Below are 23,156 nucleotides of genomic sequence, written 5' to 3'. Positions count from 1 at the left end.
CCGGATGCCTCCAAATCTCAAGTGACACTCAGTTTCTTAGGTTTTTTCCTTCCTCAAAAATGAAACCTCTCTGGGCATCCCCTTACAACCTTCTCTTTAGCTTTGAGTTGAGTTTCTTTCCTGTATTCTAATTAAAGTGACCATAGTGTTAGGTTTTTCCATTTCTCTAGAAGATTGGCTTTTTGGTAGTAGTGTTTTCTGGATCTCTTTTTGTACAGTGTACACGCTGTGGTCCTATCCTGATCTTCTGCCAACCTTTACAACATGGCCTCTGGTGCTCGAGAAACTGGTAGGGGGAGCAGGTAAGAGGATTCTCCTATATTCTGGCTATTGGCTGAAACCTACTTAGCAAAAGCCAACTGATGTAATAAACTTACCCATTTCCTGTGTTTTTGTGGTTGAAAAATGGAATTTTTTCCCCTATGTGTTTTATGTTTCTCACTTGGCTGGTTCCACACAAGATCTCTGGGCCCCTCTGGCCCTGTTGTAAGGCTTAAATAAGTGTTGTGAAAGTATTTTATGAACCACCATGTGCTATACTGTAAATCAATAAGCTGAATTTAGGAAACTAGGACAAGACAGATCATGTTATAGGCTACTCAAACTTTTTTTATTTTTTTTTTTTTGAGATGGAGTCTCACTCTGTTGCTCAGGCTGGAGTGCAGTGGCATGATCTCGGCTCACTACAACCTCTGCCTCCCAGGTTCAAGTGATTCTCCTGCCTCAGCCTCCCGAGTAACTGGGATTACAGGTGTGCATCACCACGCCTGGCTAATTTTTGTATTTTTAGTAGAGACAGGGTTTCATCATGTTGGCCAGGCTGGTCTCGAACTTCTGACCTCAAGTCAACTGCCCGCCTTGGCCTCCCAGAGTGCTGGGATTACAGGCGTGAGCCACCGCACCTGGCTAAGAGTAGCTCTTTTATGCCAGAAGAATGTTAGGAGCTGAGTCTGGAGTGGAAGTCAAGGTTCCCACTTCTGGCTTAGAAACCACCATTTGAATAAAAATAAATGTCCTGCTATTGGATGGGTGAAGGGGTCATAAAAAGCGTAAGCCACAGGCATAAGGCACTGCGCCCGGCCAGGACACTCAAACTCTGTTTGACCTTTAGCCCCCTAAGGGGAGAAGGTCTGATACTGAAGTTGCCATTTTTCATTTTTATTATGAATAACATAGTTGATAACTAATAACTATTTTTTTGTTGGAAGTTGCCATTTTTCATTTTTATTATGAAAAACATAGTTGATACCTAGTAACTATTTTTTTGTTGAGCGAGTGAGGAAATGATGAAGTAAAACGCAGAGTGAGATGGAGGCTGAATGCAGGTTGTGATTTTTTTTGTTCATTGCAGATTTGATGCTGCCTGGACTGGTGATGCCCCCTGCTGGTCTGCCTCAGGTACAGAAGGGCGACCTCTGTGCCATTTCTTTGGTGGGGAACAGGTACTGTGCCAGGCAACTGTGCCTTTGGGGGAAAAACTTGTGTAAAAGAGAAGTTGGAGGGGAATGACAACTTATAAAGCATATGAACAAAAGAGTGAAAGCAAAAATCGGTTTTGGAAGAAGCAGAGTGGGCCAGCAGGAGAATGGCAGCAAACCTATGGGGAATCCATGTGCCTGGGCAGAGTGTATTTGCTGTTTGCTGTTGCTGCTCTGTTTTCTTTCAACTTAGCATTTTTATTTTATTTTATTTTATTTTATTTTTTAGATTTACAGAAGAGTTGCAAAGATAGTAGAGTTCTGAAATGCTCATTACCCAGCTTCCTCTAATGGTAGCCTCTTACATAACCACAATATAGATTATTACAACTAAGAAATTAACATTGGCAAAGTACTGCTAACTAAACTACAGACTTTATTCATATTTCCCCAGTTTTTTCACTGATATCTTCTTTCTCTTCACGTATCCAATGTAAAATACCAAATTCCATTTAGTTGTCATGTCTCCTTAGTCTCCTGTTTGTGACCTTTTTTGTTTTTTTGTTGTTGTTGTCTTTCATCACCCTCATGCTTTTTCCCTATATGCATATCATTATCCTCATCTTTTAATTATTTTTGATAGCTTTATTGAGATACAGTTTACATACAGACAGGATCTCACTCTGTTGCTCAGGCTGGTCTCAGATTGTTGGCTTCAAGCGATACTCCTGCCTTGGCCTCGCAAAGAGTTGGGATCACAGGCATGAGCCACTACGTCTAGCCTCCAATGCTTCTTTTTAAAAATAAGAAGTAATTGTATGAACAGCTCTGAAAAATTAAAAGCCTCCCTTACCCCACAATCTTTTTCTCCTAGAAATAACCATTATCATTTTGATGTGTGTCCTTCTTGTCATTGTCCTACACATATATACATGTGCGTATAAAAATACATGGCTTAGGGTATGTGTGTTTAAAAATTCAAACAAAATTATACTGTGTATGTGTTATTTTTTCACTTAATATAGTGTGGACGTTTTCTTTTTTTAATTTTTCTTTTTTATTTTTATGCGGACATTTAAATACTAACAATACACATTTAACTTTAACTGTGTGTTAAATAAGAACACACAGATCTGCCAAACCTTTTTACCTGTTGTGTGGTGATGGAAGAGGCCCTCTCCTGGTGGACATTGAGGTTGCCTCCAATTTGTCTCTATTACAAACGTTATCTTATTGATGCCTCTAGGGACACTGTTGCTAGTATTTTTCCAGAGTAGATACTAAAATGCAGAATTGTTAGGTTGAAGATCATGTGTATTTTCTGTTTTCCTACAAACAAGCTGTATCAGTTTTTACACCTACCTGCAGCATATATGGAGCCTATTTCCCTATACTCTCACCAATACTGGATATGATAGGTCATCTTCATTTGTGTTATCCTAGTGAGTGAAAAATTACATCTTACTATTTTTTTTCATGGAGATGACCAAGGTGGACTCATTATTTTGATAATTTCTTCTTTGAGAGAGAAGGAAAGAGCGATGGTAGGCATGGGAGGGGTCAGTGTTCAAAGATCTTATTTTTGCTACTCATATTATTCTATTTTCCTTGAACGCTTTGGAACCAAGCACCTAGAAACTTCTGTTTACCTGTAGCAGAAATTACAGTTGAAAAGAATGATGGTGTTACCGTTTTTCTCCCCCAGTATTCTATCTGAGATAGGAGGAAACTATGTAAATGGATATTTGGCCTGTTCACTTTAGCCTTTAGAGTGTATATGGGGGTGGAGCTATGGATGGTTTGTGGTGGGGGTAATGATATGAGGGGTTGTTAAAAATACAAGTCATGTTCAAGACTGGAGTTCTCAAGCCATTGACCTTTCAGGGGTAGATGAGAAAAACCTTCTTTTAAGAACTGGGAAAGAAGCCAGTTTCAGATTTTGTGGCAGGAACTGACCTATAGGTACAGTTAGCAGAGCTACCAGGTTTAAAGCAAGTTCAAGTATTGGGAACTCTCACTTGGACCCTGGCTACCTTGCCAGGCTTATGTATTATTCCCCCACTGTTATCCAGCTAGTCACCTATCCTTACAGGCAATATCTGATTGATCAATGCTTGAGTAACACTGGGCTGGCAGAGATTTCTCATCTGGGCTTTGGAAGTTTCTGTAGTTACTATATATGTGGTTGTTTTTGATATCCTGGAAACATCCAGTTCTTAGATATATAGTTACACTGAGCAACCCCTCTTATAAAGTCAACTTAGAAGGAACTTCTCTAGTTGGCCCCACTATGTGTCTCTTCTCTCTTCCCTATGGCATCCCTCAGCCTAATTTATGATATATGAATTGCCTCCCCTTTAAACTTCCTTATGGGATGGCTATGACTTCTTTAAGGTAGAGGAGATAATTTATATTTTTGAAATTAATGAAAGGGAACATTAAATATCCTTCCAAGACCCACCTGGAGATTTAATTCACAGCAGGAATAAAACAAAGGCAGTGATAAAGTCAATAGAGGAGTTACTAATACAGAAGTTTAGTGTTTAGTTTAATATTTGGTCAAGGGATTTTTGAAAGTAATATTTGTACATAATCTGAAGAAAACTGAGAGTGGACTGAGTTTGGTTTTATGATACAAGACCTTCGAATTGGTAACCTTGGTATTTTTACCACATGTGTCAGAAGATGATCCTAACATGTGCCCTTCCCATAGATTTTCCATGACCCTGGTCTCTGGCTTCCTTCTTCTTAGAGCCCCTGTAGCCATTGGAGTTGCAGCCATGTCCACAGCTGAGATGCTCACGTCAGGCCTGAAGGGAAGGGGCTTCTCTGTGCTCCACACTTACCAGGACCACTTGTGGTGGGTACAGAGTTTCTTCTGTTTTACAGAGAACCGGGGCAGCTGGGGAGAGGATGGGGCCTGTGATTCAGGAGTGAGAGTTTTGGTCCTAGCCATGTCTTTAAGCAAGTTGCTAAGCCCAGACTTTTATTTCCTTACAAATATAAAGAAAATATTTTTTTCCCCTGTTTGGACAAGTAATGAGAGAGAACTTTATTTTCTAAGTGAATTATAGAATCTTAGACCCAAAGGAAGACCTTAGGGATCATCTGCTCTGCCTCTCAGTACAGTGATACTCGTTTTTTTATAGCCCTGGTCAATCTGGCCCTAGCTGCGATGCACATTTTAGACATCATGTGACCCCATGATGAGTGCTTCTGAATCCTAATCACTGCAGGGTAGACCTTTAGACTCCAGGATTATAACCTGATTACTTTTATGTTATTCAGATTTCACATTCCAGACTCCTCCTCCTCATGAAAGTAACGCATTCTGACTGTAAAGGTTGCATTCTTGAGACGCGTACCTGTTCATTTTCTGGTTATTTTCTTGTCATTTTAGCAAAACAGTAAGCAGTGATTTTCTCAAAGCACACATTTAGCCAAGTATTGTGGCCTGTTGGTATAGATTCATTCTTATATTTTCCAGCCCAGTCTTGGAATTATTAATTTTTTTTTTTTTTTTTTTTGAGATGGAGTCTCGCTCTGTCGCCCAGGTTGGAGTGCAGTGGCGTGATCTCAGCTCACTGCAAGCTCCACCTCCCGGTTCACTCCATTCTCCTGCCTCAGCCTCCTGAGTAGCTGGGACCACAGGTACCTCCCACCACGCCCGGCTAATTTTTTGTATTTTTAGTAGAGACGGGGTTTCACCATGTTAGCCAGGATGGTCTCGATCCATTGACCTTGTGATCCACCCACCTCGGCCTCCCAAAGTGCTGGGATTACAGGTGTGAGCCACTGCGCCCAGCCTTTTTTTTTGAGATGGAGTTTTGCTCTTGTTGCCCAGGCTGGAGTGCAGTGGCGCAATCTCAGCTCACTGCAACCTCTGCCTCTCGGTTCAAGTGATTCTCCTACCTCAGCCTCCCGAGTAGCTGGGATTACAGGCTTGTGCCCAAAACATCCGGCTAATTTTTTTGTTTTTAGTAGAGACAGGGTTTCACCGTGTTGGCCAGGCTAGTCTCGAACTCCTAACCTCACGTGATCTGCCCATCTAGGCCTCCCAAAGTGCTGAGATTACAGGCGTGAGCCACCGCTCCCCGCCGGACTTACTGATTTTACAAGTACTTGCCAAGTCCTCCTTTGCTGGTACAAGCTCATTTTTGCCTGTTTTTAGATATTTGAGGGCTGATGACTGATGTTCTCCTAGCACCTTGTTGTTTAACTATCAGTCTGGGCAACAGCAATCAAGGTCAGGTTGTCTAAGTTGTTTTAGCAGCAGCTGCTTTGGTTCTCTCGCTGCACCTTGAAAAAAATATTTATGGTATTTACCTGATCAGAATAGCCTAAACATACCCTTTGGCTTTACTGTGAACAACACTGAGAAGCCTTGCCGTAACTATTAGTTAAAACTTAGTTTGATTTGCATAATGTTGGCTAAGATAAAGTTTTTTACTGCTTTGTGTGCTTTGCTATGTGGCATCGCCTGTTTTCCTGTCTTCCTAAGGCTTAGTGGCATAAAACCATGGCAATCTCTGCTTTCCACGTTAGACTGCATTTGATGTAACACAGAAGCCACTGATTTTGCAGTCCTTGAGCAGTCCAGGTGTTTGTGTTTTATTACATATGCTGAGCCGTGGGTTTGCATTTCACCAAACAGATATTACAGATGCATTCGCGATCTTAATGTTCATATTTAATTCAAATTGGTTTTGTTATTAACTCAGATGAAGGGAACATTTTTGGGAGTTTATCTTAAACTCCTTTTTCTTTAATCTTTCTCAGTCTTGGGATGTCTATTAATAGTATTATTCTTTTGGGATAGGGAGGAGACAAGATTTATTCTCCCCATTTCAGAGATGAAGAAACTGAGGCATGGAACTTTTAGGGGCCCAGAATTGAAAGTACGCTTGAGATGAGGGCACAGGCTCTCTGCCCCCTCCTGGCCACTCCTGCCTGTTGGCTCTCTGCTGTCTCTGACCTCACTGCTGACTCCTCTGTGGCCAGGGCTGGAGAGTATTGGAGCTGCTGCTTGATGTTTCTGACATGAGATTTTTCCAGGCGGTCTGGAAACAAGTCCTCTCCACCTTCCATTGCTCCACTGGCCCTGGATTCAGCAGATCTCAGTGAAGAGAAGGGGTCTGTCCAGATGGACTCCACCCTGCAGGGAGACATGAGGCACATGACCCTGGAGGGGGAAGAGGAGAATGGGGAGGTTCACCAGGCACGTGAAGACAAGTCTCTCTCAGAAGCCCCAGAAGACACCAGCACCAGGGGCCTGAACCAAGACTCCACAGATAGCAAAACGCTTCAAGGTATAACTCTAGGAGGAGAAGAGCCCATCTCCCCACCTCTCAATTTAGGAGCCTGACGAACTCCACTCCACTGCTGACTAGAATGGCCCTTAAGCTTCCGGGGGAGGAGGGGAAGGTCCTTATTTTCTGTGAGGGTGGCGCAGCAGCCCTTTCACATCTTGTTTTTGAATCCTTTCCACATAAGTCACGTCTTCCTGGGAGCTAATCTGCCCTGGCATTTGCCTGTCTTCAGCTACAAAGCCCTCCAAGGTTTCTTCTGGCTCAACTTCTCTGGGTGAACACTCCTAGCTTGGTGGGACTTTGTGGCTTGACTCCTTCTCTGGGGTCAACCCTCTTTAAAGGCTCAGTGCTCAAGAGAGGCTGGGAGCTTTGGTACCTGGGAATGGGTTCCTTTCAGAGCCAAGTGGGTGAGGTAGGGATGAAGCTGGGGGTCGTTTTCTTGTACCAGGTGTTCTGTATCCCTCAGGAAGGATGTGGCTCTTGTCTTTTCCCTGCAGAACAAATGGATGAGCTGTTACAGCAATGCTTCTTACATGCCTTGAAGTGCCGAGTCAAAAAGGCTGACCTCCCTTTACTCACCAGCACTTTCCTTGGCAGCCACATGTTCTCCTGCTGGTATGGAAAGCACTGATGTGGGCTGGAGGCCGGGGCCGGGGTCTCACGTGTGCTCCTTGGTAGTAGGACAGGATGGGGCCAATGCAGGGACTGGTTGAGGGACATGCTGTGGAAAGAGTGGAGGGAAGGCTTATCTGACAAATACATTAGTTCCTGGGTTCTAAAAAGTTAATTCTTAGCTTGCTGGGCTGTTAAAACAAAATCTTAAATTTTAGCCAATGAAAGGATATTGAGGACCGGAAAGTTAAAATTCCTGAGATTCTGTGAACACTGCCTCTGCCGTGGGGGTTCTGGGCAACCTCACAAATCGGGCAGCGTGTCCTCTGCAGGAAGTGTCCCAGGGCAGCCTCTTTGTCAGGAATCTTCTTCTGGAACATTCAACCTCCTCACACTTCTGAAAAGTATGTGGGGGGCCACATTAGGTTTTATTAGGAGGAAGAATTGGTGTGAACACCCCCCGTCCCGGCCCACCCCATCCAAAACACAAGCCATCAGGAGTGGTATTATTGCGTGTGGATAGAACCTGGATTTTGAAGACAGAGCTGTCTGTACTCAACTGCTAGGTCTCCAGGGTGTTCAAGCAATGTGCATTTTAGCTTGTTACTGGGCTTCTCTGAGTCCTAATTTCTAATAATCATGGGATTGCTGTAAAGATTACATAGCCTGAACCATAATAAGCATTCAGTAAATACTATCATGTCAGGAGGTTTGCTTATTGATTTTTACCCTGAGATTGAATTTATTTATTTATTTATTTTTTGTTTTGAGACACAGTTTCACTCTGTCACCCAGGCTGGAGTACAGTGGCGTGATCTCGGCTCACTGCAACCCCTGCCTCCCAGGTTCAAGAGATTCTCCTGCCTCAGCCTTCCCGAGTAGCTGGGATTACAGGCACATGCCACCATGTGCAGCTAATTTTTGTATTTTTAGTAAAGATGGGGTATCACCATGTTGCCCAGGCTGGTTTTGAACTCCTAACCTCAAGTGATCCGCCTGCCTCGGCCTCCCGTAGTGCTGGGATTACAGGCGTGAGCCACTGTGTCCGGCCTGAATTTATTTCTTTTTGAGAATCTGGCTGTGGTTTTTTAAAAAAGTGATTCTTAATGTAATGTCTTCCCATTTATACTTGGGTGTCTTTAAGCTATCCTGTACAAATGTGGTGTCTGGAGTGTGTGGAGGGATACTTGGTAATCTGTTCTGACTTTCTTGGGTTGCAAATATATGGTAAAGGGGCCCCAGAATATTCTGTAGGATAGGATTCTGGGGTGGATTCTAGAAGGACTCCTCGAGAATCCACTGCTATTGCGTGTCATGTTTTGAGAGAAGATGTAAGCTTTTATCAGGAATGTTCTCTCCAAAACTAATTGCTGTAGTGCAGGGGTCAGCATGTTTTTCTGTAAAGGGCCAGATAGTAAATATGAATATTTTCAGTTTTGCAGGCCACACCATCTCTGTTGCAACTGCTCGATGCTGCCATTGTAGCACTAATGTGACCATAGACAGTAGATAATTAGTTGGCCAGACCTGACCCCAGGATGCGGCTTGCTGGGCCCCACTCCAGGCCTGGCTGCCCACAGTGTGAGTTTGCTGTTGCAACTTTGGAGGCCACAGAAGGTTGTCTGGTCTGGGAGGAATCTAAGGCTGTATCCAATGTGGTAGCCACTGGCCACATGTCGCTATTTTCAGTTTAAATTAATTTAAAGTAAATAAAATTTAAAATTCAGTTCCCTTGGTCACATTAGTCACACTTCAAGTACTTACTACCCACATGTGGCTAATGGCTGCCCTGTTAGACAACACAGAGAACATTCCACGTCTATGGAAAGTTCTCTTGAACAGCACTGATTTAGAATGTCCCATAGTCTGCATCCCTCTCTGCTGTCATCCCTGGGCAGAGAGTTCTGGCACAGTGGCCTCTCTCTGAAGGTGGGGGAGGAAGGCTGAGGAAAAAGGCCCTCCTCTCAGTGTCAGGCAGGTCCCAGTATGACTGCTCATTAGTTTAATTTGCCTTTTCCATCTGCCATCAGCCCCGAAGGACGACAACTGGACATAAAGAAGTCAAGCTACAAAAAGGTAAGCAAGGATCTTCTTTGCAGACCCATGCAGAGAGTTGTGTAGGGGCACATATGACATAAGCCAGATGGATGCTGGGGAAGCCTTGTCTACCAGGCTCAGTCTAGAATTAAGCTTTTTGACTCCAAGTATAAGGGGGAAGAAAGAAACTCTCCCTGGGCTGAAGCAGTTGGTGGCACCCACTTTCCTTTCTCCTTTGACCCCTTTATATCTGATTAGAGTTCTGAACGGCCTCACTGGTTAGTCTCTAGCAGCTTCTTGCTCCCTGGCCCTCAGGTTGGGGGCCTCCCAGTTCCTGGTTGATGAAGGCAGGGGCTGTCTCATATCCCTGCACAGTCCCTGCCTAGCTCACTCTGGCACATCCTGGGTGCTCAGTATGTGTGTGGAATCAATGAAGTCCCCTACCACTGGCCCTCTCTCCCTTAGCTCTCTAAGTTCCTGCAGCAAATGCAGCAGGAGCAGATTATACAGGTGAAGGAGCTGAGCAAAGGGGTGGAGAGCATTGTGGCTGTGGACTGGAAACACCCGAGGTGAGTGCAGGGGGCCTGTCACTGTAGCCCAGCTGGCCCCAGGGCACCTGGGCCACGGACTGGGGATTGCTGAGATGCTAGTATAAAATGTGTTTTTTCTTTCCTTCTGCTGGGTTTTAGGATTACATCTTTCGTCATACCCGAGCCCTCCCCGACCTCCCAGACTATCCAGGAGGGTAGCAGGGAACAGCCCTATCACCCTCCAGATATAAAACCCCTCTACTGTGTCCCAGCCAGCATGACCCTGCTCTTCCAGGAGTCTGGCCACAAGTGAGTTTTTGGAGAGCAGCCCTTCTCTGCCTGCTTGGTGTTCTGGCCTACAGTTCCTCTCAACCTGAGTAGTGCTCTTTTGCGACTGGCAAAACCTGCTCTGCCCCTGTTCTCCCCTTCTCCAAAATCCAGCTTCCAGCCTTCTTCCCTGGGCAAGTTCCTCTGGACTAAATGAACGAGTAGGTCTCACCCTTTTCTGCGTGTAATTATTCTTCACATGGTCATGCTCACTTCAGTCAGGAAAAGGGAAGAAACTAGAGGCCGAAAGCTAAGGAAAGTTCCCTGCTCAGCAGGGAGTGAGTCTGGGCATCTGCATTTTTGTCTCATGGCACAGCATGAACTAACCCCTGGGTCACTTCTCCTCACCTAGGAAGGGGAGCTTTCTGGAGGGCAGTGAGGTCCGAACGATCGTCATTAACTACGCCAAGAAAAATGACCTGGTTGATGCAGACAACAAAAAGTGAGTGCATGAGAAGCACCAGATCTGTCTTATTGGGTCTTTGTCTTTATCAGACATAGACACATTTGGGGAGGATGTCTGGGAGGGAGAATAGAAAACCATAGCATCTTAGAGGTAATTAAGATCAGTGGTTTCCAAACCATGGGCTGTGGACACTCAGTTATTGTCTGGGGTGTTCAGATCCATGTATACGATCAACATTGACTACCGACTAAGTAAATATTCTCTCACAAATACCCATGAATCATCTTTAATTGGCTATTGTGAGGAATAAAATGCAAGCTTACAAAGAATTTACTGAAGTCATCATAGCTTTAGGTATTTATTTTTATTGATAGATATTTGTACATATTTATGGGGTGCATGGTATTTTGTTACATGCACAGAGTGTATAACGATCAAGGCAGGGTATTTGGGGTATCATCACCTTGAGTATTTACCATTTCTATGTGTCGGGAACACTGTAAGTCCTCTTTTCTAGCTATTTTGACATACACAATACATTGTTGTTAACTACAGTCACCTTACTCTGCTCTCAAAGACTAAACTTATTTCTTCTATCTAACTGTATATTTGTACCCATTATGGTATTATTTTCTTAAAAGGAGATACAGATGGTAAACTACCAGATGAAGAGAGTTCCATTAATTGTTTTTTACTTTAATGGCCGGACACTGTGGCTTATGTCTGTAATCCCAACATTTTTGTAGGTTGAGGTGGGAGGATTGCTTGAGGCCAGGGGTTTGAGACCCACCTGAGCAGCATGATGAAACCCTGTCGCTACAAAAAATACAAAAATTAGCCGGGCATGGTAGGGCATGCCTGTAGTCTCAGCCACTTGGGAGGTTGAGGTGGGAGGATCGCTTGAGCCCAAGAGGTTGAGGCTGCAGTGAGCAATGATGATGCCACTGCACTGCAACCTGGGTGATACAGTGAAACCCCATCTCAAAAAAAAATTTTTTTTTCACTTTAAAAAAACATCATCATGATAAAAAAGTTGAGACATACCAGCCTAATCTAATACCTTCATTTTATTTTATGTTTTATTTTTATTTTTGAGACAGAGTTTTGCTCTTGTTGCCCAGGCTGGAGTGCAATGGTACAATCTGTGCTCACTGCAACCTCTGCCTCCCAGGTTCAAGCGATTCTCCTGCCTCAGCCTCCCAAGTAGCTGGAATTACAGGGATGCGCCACCATGCCCGGCTAATTTTTGTATTTTTAGTAGAGACGGGGTTTCACCATGTTGGCCAGGCTAGTCTTGAACTCCTGACCTCAAGTGATCCACCCATCTCGGCGTCCCAAAGTGCTGGGATTACAGGCGTGGGCCACTGCGCCCGGCCCTATTTTTAGTAGAGATGGGGTTTTACCATGTTGGCCAGGCTGGTCTTGAACTTTTGACCTCAGGTGATCCTCCCGCCTCAGCCTCCCAAAGTGCTGGGATTACAGGCGTGAGCCACTGCACCTGGCCAACACCTTCATTTTAAAGATCCCCACTTCCTTTCTTTCTTCCTCACTAGCCAATTTTGATGCTAAGCTTAGAAAGCTGTGGTCACATGCTTAGTTAGTAGCAAAGGCTCCTGATCTTCAAATTTATCCCATCTCACTTTCCCTTCCACCTCCTGCTTTTCCTAGGAAAGCATTCGTGTATCTCCCACCCATAAGGTACATTGCCTTTTGGACTGTGGGCCCATAATTGATTCATATCCTGAATGTCTATAAAGGCCGTACGAGAGATGAATCCTGAATTAGCCTTCAGGTCAGAAGGGACAAGTCTAGGATTTCTTCATTGCCTCTTCTTTCCCTTTAGTCTTGTGAGATTGGATCCCATCCTATGTGACTGCATCTTAGAGAAAAATGAACAGCATACAGTCATGAAGCTTCCATGGGACAGTCTTCTGACCAGGTAACGAGCATTGGCAGTCCCTCTCCAACTTTTCTATCCCCTCGCCTTAATGTTGATCACATTGAACTTTAATACTGTCACTATCTTAGCCTTTGATTTTCTTTCTGTAATTCATACCAAGTCAGTCTACATAAACACAGGCTTGAGGAACTCTGATTTGGGGGGTCTTTGGAACAATTTGAGCCAATATGACATGGGAGAGCTTGAAAGGAAGAACAAAAAGGAACATTAATTAAAAATAAGAACTTCAGGCAGGCATAGTGGTGCATGCCTGTAGTCCCAGCACTTTGGGAGGCGGAGGCGGTAGGATTGCTTGGGCCCAGGAGGTGGAGGCTGCATTGAGCCATTTTCATGTCACTGCACCCCAGCCTGGGTGACAAGGTGAGACCCTGTCTCAAAAAAAGAACTTACTCTGTTAAAGTGAGGGCATTTAAAAAAATAAGAAAAAATAAAATAAAACTTCAATAAGATGCAGAAGCAAAAGAAGGCTGGGGAAAAGTGTCTTAAAGTCTTTAAAGGAAAAATTTTTAATATTCCTTCTTTTCCACATAACTGAAAATAGTTTATTGTCAGGAGTCAGCAAACTACAGCCCATGGGTCAAATCTGGCCTGCCACCTGTTTTTGTAAATAAAGTTTTGTTGGAACACAACCATATCCATTTATGTGTTGTCTGTGCGCTGGTTTTATGCTATAATGGCAGAACTGAGTAGTTGTAAGAGACCAGGTGACTGGCAAAACCAAAAATATTTACTGTCTAGCCCTTTATAGAAAAAGTTGTTGATCCTGATATATGTGATAGCAAGAGAAAACTTGGTTAGATAAAAGGTAGAAACTCCTCGTGGTAAAAGTTCTCTATAAAACATGTCAGAAATGTGAAGCAGCACTCGCAGGCAATGGGCCACTTAAGGCACATTCTTGAGACAGGTAGTAGCCTCCACAGGGCAGACTGGGCAGATTCTCAAAAGGCCAGGTCAGTGGACCGTTTCCAGGGGCCTAAGTCACTGATGTTCCCATCTTTGAATCAGTGGGTGTCTACCTTGGCCGCATTTTAGGGAGCTTTAAAAAATACATAGCCCTAGTCAGAGATACAGATTTCATTGATCTGGGCTGTAGCTCCCTAGGGATTTGAATGATTCTAATGTGCAGCCAAGGTTGTGGACCTGCAATTTCAGCCTACACCTAACTGCCTGCTGGTAGTGGGGTATGAGGAAATGGTTTCTGTTGGCTTTATCAGTTTGCAACTCATAACTTCTGTTTCAGGTGTTTGGAAAAATTACAGCCTGCCTATCAAGTGACCCTTCCCGGACAAGAGCCCATTGTGAAGAAAGGGAGAATCTGTCCAATTGACATCACCCTAGCACAAAGAGCGTCTAATAAAAAGGTAATTTTAGAAAGACACAATGTTCAAGGATAGTGATTTAATGTTCTTGCCAAGTTCTGGTCTCCCTAATGTGATTGGAGGTTTTTAGATTGGCCTCAAACTCATCAAAGATTTTTTTATGAAACACCCGTGTTTATGTGCCTGGGCTGGGCTCTGTATGAAACAGGTAAAGCTGACCCCGCTCACTCACTGCCCTCTAGGATTTTGTTCTAGGAAACTTGCTAGAGCCTGGTTCCAAAAGTAAACAAGATTGTATTTTCATTTTTTTCTTAGAACTATGTTATGGACATTCAGCTCCCACATATTCTTTCACCTCTTAGGCCTTGCTCAATGAAAATAACTTGTAAAAAACTTGCTGAAGGAACTGAGTGTGTTTAGCTTGGCAACACAAAATTGTGGGGAACCAATGACATCTCTCCTCAAATATGTGCAAAGCTGTCCCCTGGCAAAGTAGGGCACTTATTCTATATGCCTTGAAAGGACAGAAATAGGATTATTGGGTGGAAATGCCAAGAAGGCAGACTTGAGTCTGTCTTTGTAAAGACTCAAGAACTTTGTAGTAGTGTACAGTTACGAGCGTGGGCTTTGGATAGTACTGGGTTCAAATGCAGCCGTTGCCTCACTGCCTGACCTTGAGCATGTTACTTCATTTCTTTTTGTCTGAGTTTTACTCTGTGAAAAATGGGGATAATACCTACCTGGTAAGGCATTGTGAGGATCAAATGAAGGCGTATACATGGCTGAAGCACTTAGAATGTACTTGGCATATAAATACTTGGTTCTCAATAATTGAGAACCAGTAATGATAATCTTTACAATAATTAGTAACAGTCACTATTTATTGAGTGTTTAATTATGTGCCAGACACTGAACTAAATAATTTTCATATATATAGTTTATGTAAACACTAATTTTCTGTTAATAATGACAAATAGAATTGTCCAAAATTGAAATTGGTGCTTCATAAAATAGTGAATTTTTTTCTGGAGAGTCTGCAAGCAAAAATTAGGTGAGCACTTGTCAGGGGAGGATGTAGTTGGGGGTTCATGCATCAGGTGGGCAATTGGAAGAGATACGTCCTCTAAAGTCTTATTGATTCTAAGATTTTCTGGGTCTGGAGCTCATTGATAAGCGTAAGGCTAGTTGGAGCTTTTATAGTCTTTATTGATAGCAGTCATCCCCCACACACCCCTGATAGTAATACACTTTACTATCTGTAGTCATGAATGAGAAAGAATTTGTTTTAAAGCAACAAGGGGGAGAATTGTGATATTTTAAAAGCACTAACATTTTTCTTTTTTATCTCAAAGTCACATACTTGTCATTTGTGAAGCTGAATACCAGAAGAATGCATGTGTTGCTGACTAGATTGTTGATATTAAGGAGCTATTGTTTGTTACTTTATTTTTAGGTGTGATGATGGTTTTGTTTTTATGTTTAAATGAGCCTTGTCTTTTGGAGATACATACTGAAATATTTATAGATGAAATGATCTGATGTCTGGGGAGGTTTGCTTTAAAGTAATAGAGGAGTGGGGAGTAGACAGGGGTATAGATGAATCAAGGTTGGCCATGAGTTGGTAATTGTTGAAACTGGTGATAGGTACATGTGGGTTTATATACTATTCTGCTTTCATTTATGTTTTGAATTCTCCAAATAAAACTTAAAAAAGAAGTAGACATTCTGTGTGATACAGAGAGTATCTGTCCCTCTAAATATGTAATACATATATTGGATGGGGTAGACAGAATCAATTTAGAAGCACAAAAATAAGTGATTTGGATTTAAAAAGTACTAGGGTTATAGGAATGGTGAACCATCAGAGAACACAGGGGCTCAGAAGGCTGCTGAGGCTCTGGAAGGCCCTCTGGAGGGAAGGGAATGCAGTCACCACCGTCAGTCTCTGTCCCCACTGTCCCCCCAGGTGACCGTGGTCCGGAACTTGGAGGCCTATGGTCTGGACCCATACTCAGTGGCTGCCATCCTTCAGCAGCGATGCCAGGCTAGCACCACCGTCAATCCTGCCCCTGGGGCCAAGGACAGCCTTCAGGTGCAGATCCAGGGAAACCAGGTCCACCACCTCGGCTGGCTATTGCTTGGTGAGCATCCCCTCTGAAGAGTGGAGGCATTGGTCTAGCTCAGCAAAGACCTTCCTGCCAACTCAACTTGCATAATACACACACACACACACACACACACACACACACACTCTCTCTCTCTCTCTCTCTCGCTCTCTCTCTCTCTCTCTCTCCATTTAGTTTTTAGTAGCTATTTAGAGAAGAGGGAACCAGTGTTTGAATCAGATCCTTTGGCTCCTTCCAAATTCAGTGTTTTCTCTTCCACTATTAGAGTAGTTTTCTTCCTGGTTGGTCCCTTTCTATAAAACATATGGCGAGCACCCAAACTTTTGTGCTAGGCCCATTGTTGGGGTTTTTGCAGGCATCTCTCTTAATCATAATGATGCTGCAGAGCTGTTATCTGTTTTGCAGATGAGGAAACTGAGGCCCAGAGAGGTTCCGTACCTTGCCCTGAGATCCTCTGACTCTTGAGTGATATAGCTGGGCACGAAACTTTTTTAGACTCCAGAGTCTAAGTTTTTTTTTTTTTGAAACAGAATCTCGCTCTGTCACCCAGGCTGGAGTGCAGTGGCGCAATCTTGGCTCACTGCACTCACTGCAGCCTCCACCTTCCAGGTTCCAGTCATTCCCCTGCCTCAGCCTCCCGAGTAGCTGGGATTATAGGCGCATGCCACCACGGCCAGCTAATTTTTGTATTTTTAGTAGATATGGGGTTTCACTATGTTGACCAAGCCAGTCTTGAACTCCTGACCTCAGATGATCCGCCTGCCTCGGCCTCCCAAAGTGCTAGGATTACAGGCTTGAGCCACCATGCCTGGCCTAAAGCCTAAGTTCTTTCTACTAACTCTGGGTAACCCAGCCTCCCGTTTTTCCTCACTTCAAACCAGCCTTCACATCTCTGCCTGAGTCAGCTTTCTTAAACAAATATGATCACATCACTCCCTTCTAAAAAACTTTGTATGCCTCTTCAATGCCTTCAGAATTAACTCCTAAGCTCAATAAACAAGACCCTCCCAGCCTGACCCCAGCCTTCCCTGCCAGGCTCTCTCTGGCAGCTCCTACACCCATGTTGCAGGCACCAGCTGTCCTGGTCTCCTTGCAGTTCTCCAGATTCTCCTTGCATGTTCACCCACATGTGCTTCCGCCTGGGCTATCCCCTTGCCTAAGATGCCCTCCCACGCCCAAGCCCACCTGACCTCAGAGGCTCACTGGCCCAGCCCAGGGGTCCTGGGAGGCCTGAGCCTAAATTAGCATTTTAAACATTGCTAATGTAGCACTTTCCAATTGTGTTTATATTTCCGGTTAATGTCTGCAGCTTGGCTAATTTTTTCTAATGTCTGAACCTCCTGCCAGACTGAGCTGCATGAGCCAGAAACCTTGCCTTTTTCATCCTCAGGGCCTGGCGGATAGTAAGTGCTCATTTAGGCAAATGTATTCCATGGCCTATGGCAGTACCTGACAGTTAACTTCTAGAGTTGAGCCTCTTTATGTGAAGAACCCCATACAAGGTACTGAGAAGAAATGTTATGAGCAAGAGCGAGGAGCACAGACTGAACAGACACATTCTCTCTCGTGAAAAAATTATAAATGCCTGAAATACACCCAGAAAGTAGCTCTCAGTGTGAAAATTTCAGAAATATACACATCAGCTGTGAGGTGTAGGCGTAAGTGGTCAGTCCCGAAGTTGAGTTTGAGCTGGGTGGAATGACATTGTGAGGCAACGGGGACTGGTGGAGGGCCAGCCGGGGAGCAAGGTCATGCTCCGCTGAGGAGTGTGTGCTTTTTGGATTGTAGAAGAGTATCAGCTCCCTCGAAAACACATCCAAGGTCTAGAAAAGGCCCTCAAACCTGGCAAGAAGAAGTGACAGACTCTTTTGTCTCACGTGGTGGATCCGGTGGAAATCCAAGCTCTGGGCTGGTAATTTTTATGAGCATTTTCAGCTTTTGCAAATACAAAATATAATTCTTTACAAAAATAAATTTTTATTCTAATCTAAATCTGACTTCCCTCTTGTTTCCTCCACTTAGCTAAAATGTACTAATTTTTGAAGTCGGGAGTATTCTAAATGGACAGAAGAGGTCACGGTGGCTGCCATTCTGTCCATGTGGTTTCAATGATTTCATTCCTTCCCTGCTTTCCAGGCAGGCCAGCCCATTCAGAGTTCGGACAGGTGGGGCCTTCCTCTTTTTAAAGACCTTCTACCAAATATCCTACTGCCTAATTAACTTCCTAGCCCCAAAATAGTTCCTTCACATCTCTAAAGGGTTAGTCACGTAGAAAACAGATCCCAGCTGTTCTCTGTCATCAATCAAAGCAACAGAAGAAAGAATTGACCCTAAATTGCAGTAGAATTTAGGCTAGATAGAAATCAGAAACAGTATACAGGCATATTAGGACGTGGGTTTCTATAGGACAGTGATTCTTCCCCAACTTTAGGACACTGCCACTAACTGGTAAATTTGTGATGTAACTCCAAGATGACAGCTTTGTTACAGTGAAGAGTCTCATCCAACACATGCCCTCTTCAGCCCCAACTTCTTAACGTGGAGGTCATGGAAGGGGTCTTTAATAGGTCTTTAGAGGATCCATGAACTCCCTGAAATGGTGCACAGATTTTGTACGATCATTTTCCTGAGAGATGGACCATGCTTTCATCAAATTCCCAAAGGGATCACTTGATGCCAGAAAAGTGCAGAACCACTGCGCTGGTCCCTGCTCAGTTTATGGAATCATTTCACTGACTGGATCTCTCCTTGTATAATAGGAGGGAGAACTGGGCTAAATTCCCTGAGTTTTTGGGTTTTACCATTAAGAGACAGTTGCACTTCAGTTTACTTGTTTCTTTCTCTTCTCAGTTTTTCTCAAACTGAGATAAGAAAGGCTTAAAAATATCCACAATATCCACAAATTGCCCGTTTGAGGCTTGAAAAGGAAAAAAGGAATGGGTTTGAAAATGTGTGTGTGGCGCCTCCTACCGTCTGTTATCAGGCCCAGAATAGACCTTTTTACTCATGAGTAAACTCCTTAATTTCACTAATCCTATCTCTACCGGCATGAGCATATGAAACTAGGAAAGGGATTTCCAGAAATTGAGCCTAAACAGGATCCTGTTAAAGCCTTTGGCCTGCCAGAGTCTGATCTGAGGGATTATGATCTGTATAGTAGTAATGAACTATGGTTCCTTATGTGAATACAAGTAAAATATAGCACTGTGCAAAGTTCTTTCACAAACTTGATTTGTTTTGCACGATCTTGAAGGGAGTGGAGGCTAAGAAAGGTCATGTCCCGCCTTGTTGATCTCTGCTGAAGACACAAAGCCAGTAAGTGGTAGGGCTGGGTCTAAAATGAACATCTACCCTTAATTGTGGTTTGACCCACAATTCTGCCATGACACAGTGCTGTCCAGACCTGTGCATTGAGTGGTTTTTCCAGTAACGGTGACACATTTGCATTGAGTCATCTTCCCTCTCCCCCTGTGAACAGCATAGGGACATATTCAAAGGCAGAGTAGAGCCAGACTGTGTAACAGGTTCTTTTTCCTATGTGCTAAGTCAAATAATCTGTATCAATGTCAAACGTACAACTTTGAATTTATTAACCCTATGCTGTAACCATATGAGATTCAATGAAAAGCAGAAAGTGCTTCATTTTTGGACTTTGGCAAAATCATTGAAAGATACATTTCTTGGGGGTTTAGATGAACAAAAATGTTACAGATGTGCCCCATTCTTGGGCAGTTTTAAGGATGCTTGTTGGACATTCATTCATTCTTTGGGCCCCATGTATTGCATTCTATGTGATCAATACTGGAAGGCAGCAAGAATTTCTTTTTAATAATTTAATGTGGTTATTTCCATGATTACTGAGATGTTCCTTTGATGAAAGTCAGAGAACTCAAGTGAAAGGACTGTTTGTTTTGGTCATTTGATCTAGCCCCCTTCCTCCAGGTGAAGTGATCTTAAACTTTTAAAGATCTATTCCTTTCTACCTTATTTTTAAATAATTCCAGAAGTAGAAGAATCATGGCTCAGCTCAGTAGCCTGTCCTGGTGTCAAATCACCCTTAGCTCCAGAAGGCCCTTCTCTTTCCCACACATCAGCATCTCTGCCTGCAATCAGTCTCCTTGACTCTCTTGCACTGCGGAGACATGGAACAGCTGGTCACCCAGGCAGCGCCCTCCCGCCTACGCATTTGGACAATTTTTCCCAAATTATTTGAACAGTAGCCTTCATTTCTCTGCTCACTGGCAAAAGAAAATCTGACTCCACCAGGAAGCATGTGATCATGTCCATTCTCACCCTCTCTCCCCCGCTCCCAGTGTCCGTAAGATGGTGAAGTTCAAGGGAGACGTTTCTAACATGAGTCATTTTTGCAACAGGCTTTTATTACTTTTTTTTAAAACCCATATAAGAAAGACATTTAAAAAGAAAATATCCTGGAAACAAACACTTACACACTGAGCAACACAACCAAAGAAGGCACTACCAGCAGTTACTCCCACCTCTGGGAGGGAACGGGTACTCGATACTATACTTTTTTCAGAGGTTTAGACCTCAGCATAGGCCTTGGGTCTAACTGTGCTTTAGTAAAGTCTGAATTGTCCAATAATTTTCTCATTTCATAAACACCCTTATCTCTTTATATATAGCTATATGCCTTTATGTGTATATATACATGACTTTTTTTTTCCTTCTCAAAAATAAAATAGCCATCCCCATAGAGGGAGGTTCTCAGCAGCATTCACAGCGGTTGCAGCAGGAGCCATGCCTTCTATTAATGTTAGAGACATGCAGGACGAAGGAAAATGACTCTCCACCTGCTCCCTTTAATATACAGCAGGGAGAGAGTTTCTAAAGGGAGGGAAGTGATAAGGCTGAGCATGAGATGGCTAACCAGGGTTTTTGTGGTTTAAAAAAATCTTAGAGTTGCGAGCTTGTGTTGCCTTTGAAGCTCTGGAGACTATGCACAGTTCATACGACGAGGGGTCAGCATTCCTTCTGGGATCAGGGGCAGTATGGACTCAGCCTGGGTCAGAGAGGGAACTTCTGAAGCTACACGAACAAGCTTGGGCTTGAACCGACCCAAGAGGGACTTGGGAAGGCAGAGGATAGCAAAGAAATGGTTTCTCAGAGGCTGGGTTGGAAAACCAGCCCTGCTTTGAAAATTACAAGTCCTTCTCCCTCTGCACTGGAGTGTCTCTGCAGTCCTGGCTACTTGTTGGAATTTTTTGACTAATTTATTTTAGGATTCAGCCTAAACAAGAAGCCAGTGCAAATGTAAGTCAGGAATTTGATCCTCCCTGTCAATGTGGTCTGGTATCACTGATTGGAGTCAAAACTCAGGCACCCAGATGGGAGGGAGGTCTGTGACCCTCAACCCATACTGAACGCGGGCTCTCCTGGCCTTGTCTCCCACACCGCCGCCATTGTTCACTTCCTGGCAGGAGAAGCCAGCAGCAGAGCTTCAGGCAAACTCGCCCTACTCCTATTTCTCTCTGAAAACAAAAAGGCACTGAGGTCGACGGGGAGGCCAGGCCCACCGGCTCTCCGAGCGCAGTGCCGGGTCTGGCCCATGCTTCAAAACAGAAAGGACTCCAAGTTGGCCGAATTGGAGGCTCCCCTCTCTGTAATCAAGGCAACTCCTTGGGCAGCACCTGGAGATCCCAGAGTCGCAGTGGGAGGAGGGAGGCAGTGCTGGAGGCCGATGGGGAACCCAAGTAGCCCAGGCCCTCCTCTGCTCTTTAGCTGGGGAAGGCTGAAGACAGCTTGGACACCTTTCTCTGCATTGCTTTTTGGCTTTCTCTTACTGTCTGATTTCCATACTTAGCAGGAGACTTTTTAAATGGTCAATGACTGGCTTCCCTTTGGGGAAACACATGACGATGATGACAACATTAAATTCAAATTTGTAACTTAAAAACGAACAGTTTGTTGACAAAGATGTGACTAAGTACCACACATACGCAGATATATGCCTTTGGGTTTCCATGTGCAATGTGGGCCAGGGCCAGAGCCAGGGCCAGGGCAGGCTGCAGCTTCTCTGGAGATCTCTGAGCCAGCCTCAGCTTTGGTGCTCCTTACCCTGAGCATCTGGGGCCAGTAGCTTTATAAACTTCCCTTAAGTGTGAACAACAGGCACCTTGGGGCCGCGGGAACAGTCCTTTTATGAGCATTACCCTGCTTTCAGGGGCTTAGCTCAGACCTGCAAAAGGAATGTGCTACAACTTTTCACTCATAAATAATGGTCCTGTACGTGGCAAGTAAGAGAACTCAAAGAGGAATCAATGCCAGAGAAAGAACACACAGCTCTAAAACCTTTCTTCCTTCCTTTGCCGGCTGGTGTGAGGTTCCAGTTTGGTGACGAGAGAGGCAACTATTTGGTTGGTGAAAGGCTTGCAGATCGAGAGAGGACGTCAGCTGTTTGTTTCACATGAGTTCTGATCCTTGGCAGAATCTGTGGTGGGGCACAGCCTGGGGGCGGGCACAGCTGAACCCTCGTGCAAACACTTGTCCATGGAAGAGACTTTTGCCACAGCTGGAACTGCTGGGCAGGCACAAATGCACCTGCCAGAGATGTCCTGAGAAAAAGTGTCTGTTGCAAAATAATAATTAATAATACAAATAAATCTGAATGCACCAGGAGGAGAGGAAGCAGGACCGGTTACCCAGGTTTGCCCTGGGATTCTCTTAAGGCCTCCTCCAGTTTCTGCCTAAACTTGTCATACTTCTTTTGCACTTGTTGGATTTTGTCCTGCTCCTCTTTTTCCAGGATTGTTAGGAAGTTCTGAAGTTCAGGGATGGAGAAGGCATCCCACTGTGAGGCGAGAGGGAGATTTGTGGGAAGAAACAGAATAGGAGACAGGTTAGAAGTTGACACGACCTGAGAGACCCTGCTGCCTTCCCCTTCCCAGTTCACATCCGTGATTCACACACAGTTTGCTACTGAACAGACTGAATCAGCGAAGCCTGGGCTTTGCATGCCTGTCATAGCAGCAACAAAATTCCAAATGCTGGCATCTCATGACCAAGAGTTGCCAGTCTATGAACCATGTTTTTATTTTGAAACTCAATAATCTTAAGTTTCTGTGTAGCAGCCGAGATCTTGACAGTGATGCTGG

At 44.1% G+C, this 23,156-nt stretch overlaps 2 protein-coding genes across 11 annotated transcripts in view, besides 3 other annotated features; one reads left to right on the top strand and one right to left on the bottom strand.

Moving 5' to 3' along the window:
* Positions 1–23,156, top strand: part of EIF2D (eukaryotic translation initiation factor 2D) — a 43,320-nt gene that overhangs the window by 2,788 nt on the left and 17,376 nt on the right. For 2 of the 8 annotated variants that reach the window (XR_001737023.3, XM_011509257.3), the window contains exons 3-14: positions 219–302; positions 1,352–1,442; positions 4,171–4,278; positions 6,474–6,727; positions 7,225–7,342; positions 9,370–9,415; positions 9,842–9,945; positions 10,066–10,215; positions 10,586–10,675; positions 12,483–12,578; positions 13,840–13,960; positions 15,885–16,059. Coding sequence is in view for 6 of the 8 variants with exons in the window: in XM_011509257.3 (XP_011507559.1) it covers positions 219–302; positions 1,352–1,442; positions 4,171–4,278; positions 6,474–6,727; positions 7,225–7,342; positions 9,370–9,415; positions 9,842–9,945; positions 10,066–10,215; positions 10,586–10,675; positions 12,483–12,578; positions 13,840–13,960; positions 15,885–16,059 (1,437 nt within the window). In the remaining 2 variants the exon portion in view is untranslated. Of the gene's footprint in view, positions 1–218; positions 303–1,351; positions 1,443–4,170; positions 4,279–6,473; positions 6,728–7,224; positions 7,343–9,369; positions 9,416–9,841; positions 9,946–10,065; positions 10,216–10,585; positions 10,676–12,482; positions 12,583–13,839; positions 13,961–15,884; positions 16,060–17,832; positions 18,037–23,156 lie in introns of those variants that run through there. The other 6 variants (NM_006893.3, XM_006711196.4, XM_005277509.4 and 3 more) reach the window with 6 other exon arrangements.
* Positions 31–130: an enhancer, noted in NCBI's record as "active region_2408". NCBI's record gives its function as "activates an Ori minimal core promoter by ATAC-STARR-seq in GM12878 lymphoblastoid cells {active_cell/tissue: GM12878}" and the evidence as "EXISTENCE:reporter gene assay evidence [ECO:0000049][PMID:35858748]".
* Positions 6,592–7,791: an enhancer, noted in NCBI's record as "MED14-independent group 3 enhancer chr1:206775241-206776440 (GRCh37/hg19 assembly coordinates)". NCBI's record gives its function as "activates an origin of replication core promoter dependent on BRD2, BRD4, P300/CBP and CDK7 cofactors, and independent of MED14, by STARR-seq in HCT116 cells {active_cell/tissue: HCT116}" and the evidence as "EXISTENCE:reporter gene assay evidence [ECO:0000049][PMID:35650434]".
* The window catches only part of RASSF5 (Ras association domain family member 5), an 81,918-nt gene continuing 78,991 nt past the window's right edge, over positions 20,230–23,156 (bottom strand). For all 3 annotated transcript variants that reach the window (NM_182663.4, NM_182664.4, NM_182665.4), the window contains one exon: positions 20,230–22,852. In NM_182663.4, the coding sequence (NP_872604.1) occupies positions 22,700–22,852 (153 nt within the window). In that variant the 3' untranslated portion in view covers positions 20,230–22,699. The remainder of the gene's footprint in view (positions 22,853–23,156) is intronic.
* Positions 21,079–21,579: an enhancer, noted in NCBI's record as "H3K4me1 hESC enhancer chr1:206761431-206761931 (GRCh37/hg19 assembly coordinates)". NCBI's record gives its function as "activates a minimal SCP1, AML or CMV promoter by ChIP-STARR-seq in naive H9 embryonic stem cells {active_cell/tissue: H9 hESC(naive)}" and the evidence as "EXISTENCE:reporter gene assay evidence [ECO:0000049][PMID:30033119]".

The sequence above is a fragment of the Homo sapiens genome, chromosome 1, assembly GCF_000001405.40.
Source record: "Homo sapiens chromosome 1, GRCh38.p14 Primary Assembly".
In the NCBI taxonomy this organism is placed as follows: domain Eukaryota; kingdom Metazoa; phylum Chordata; class Mammalia; order Primates; family Hominidae; genus Homo; species Homo sapiens.
Note: the sequence above shows the minus strand (reverse complement) of the source record. Positions and strands in the feature narration are given on the sequence as shown.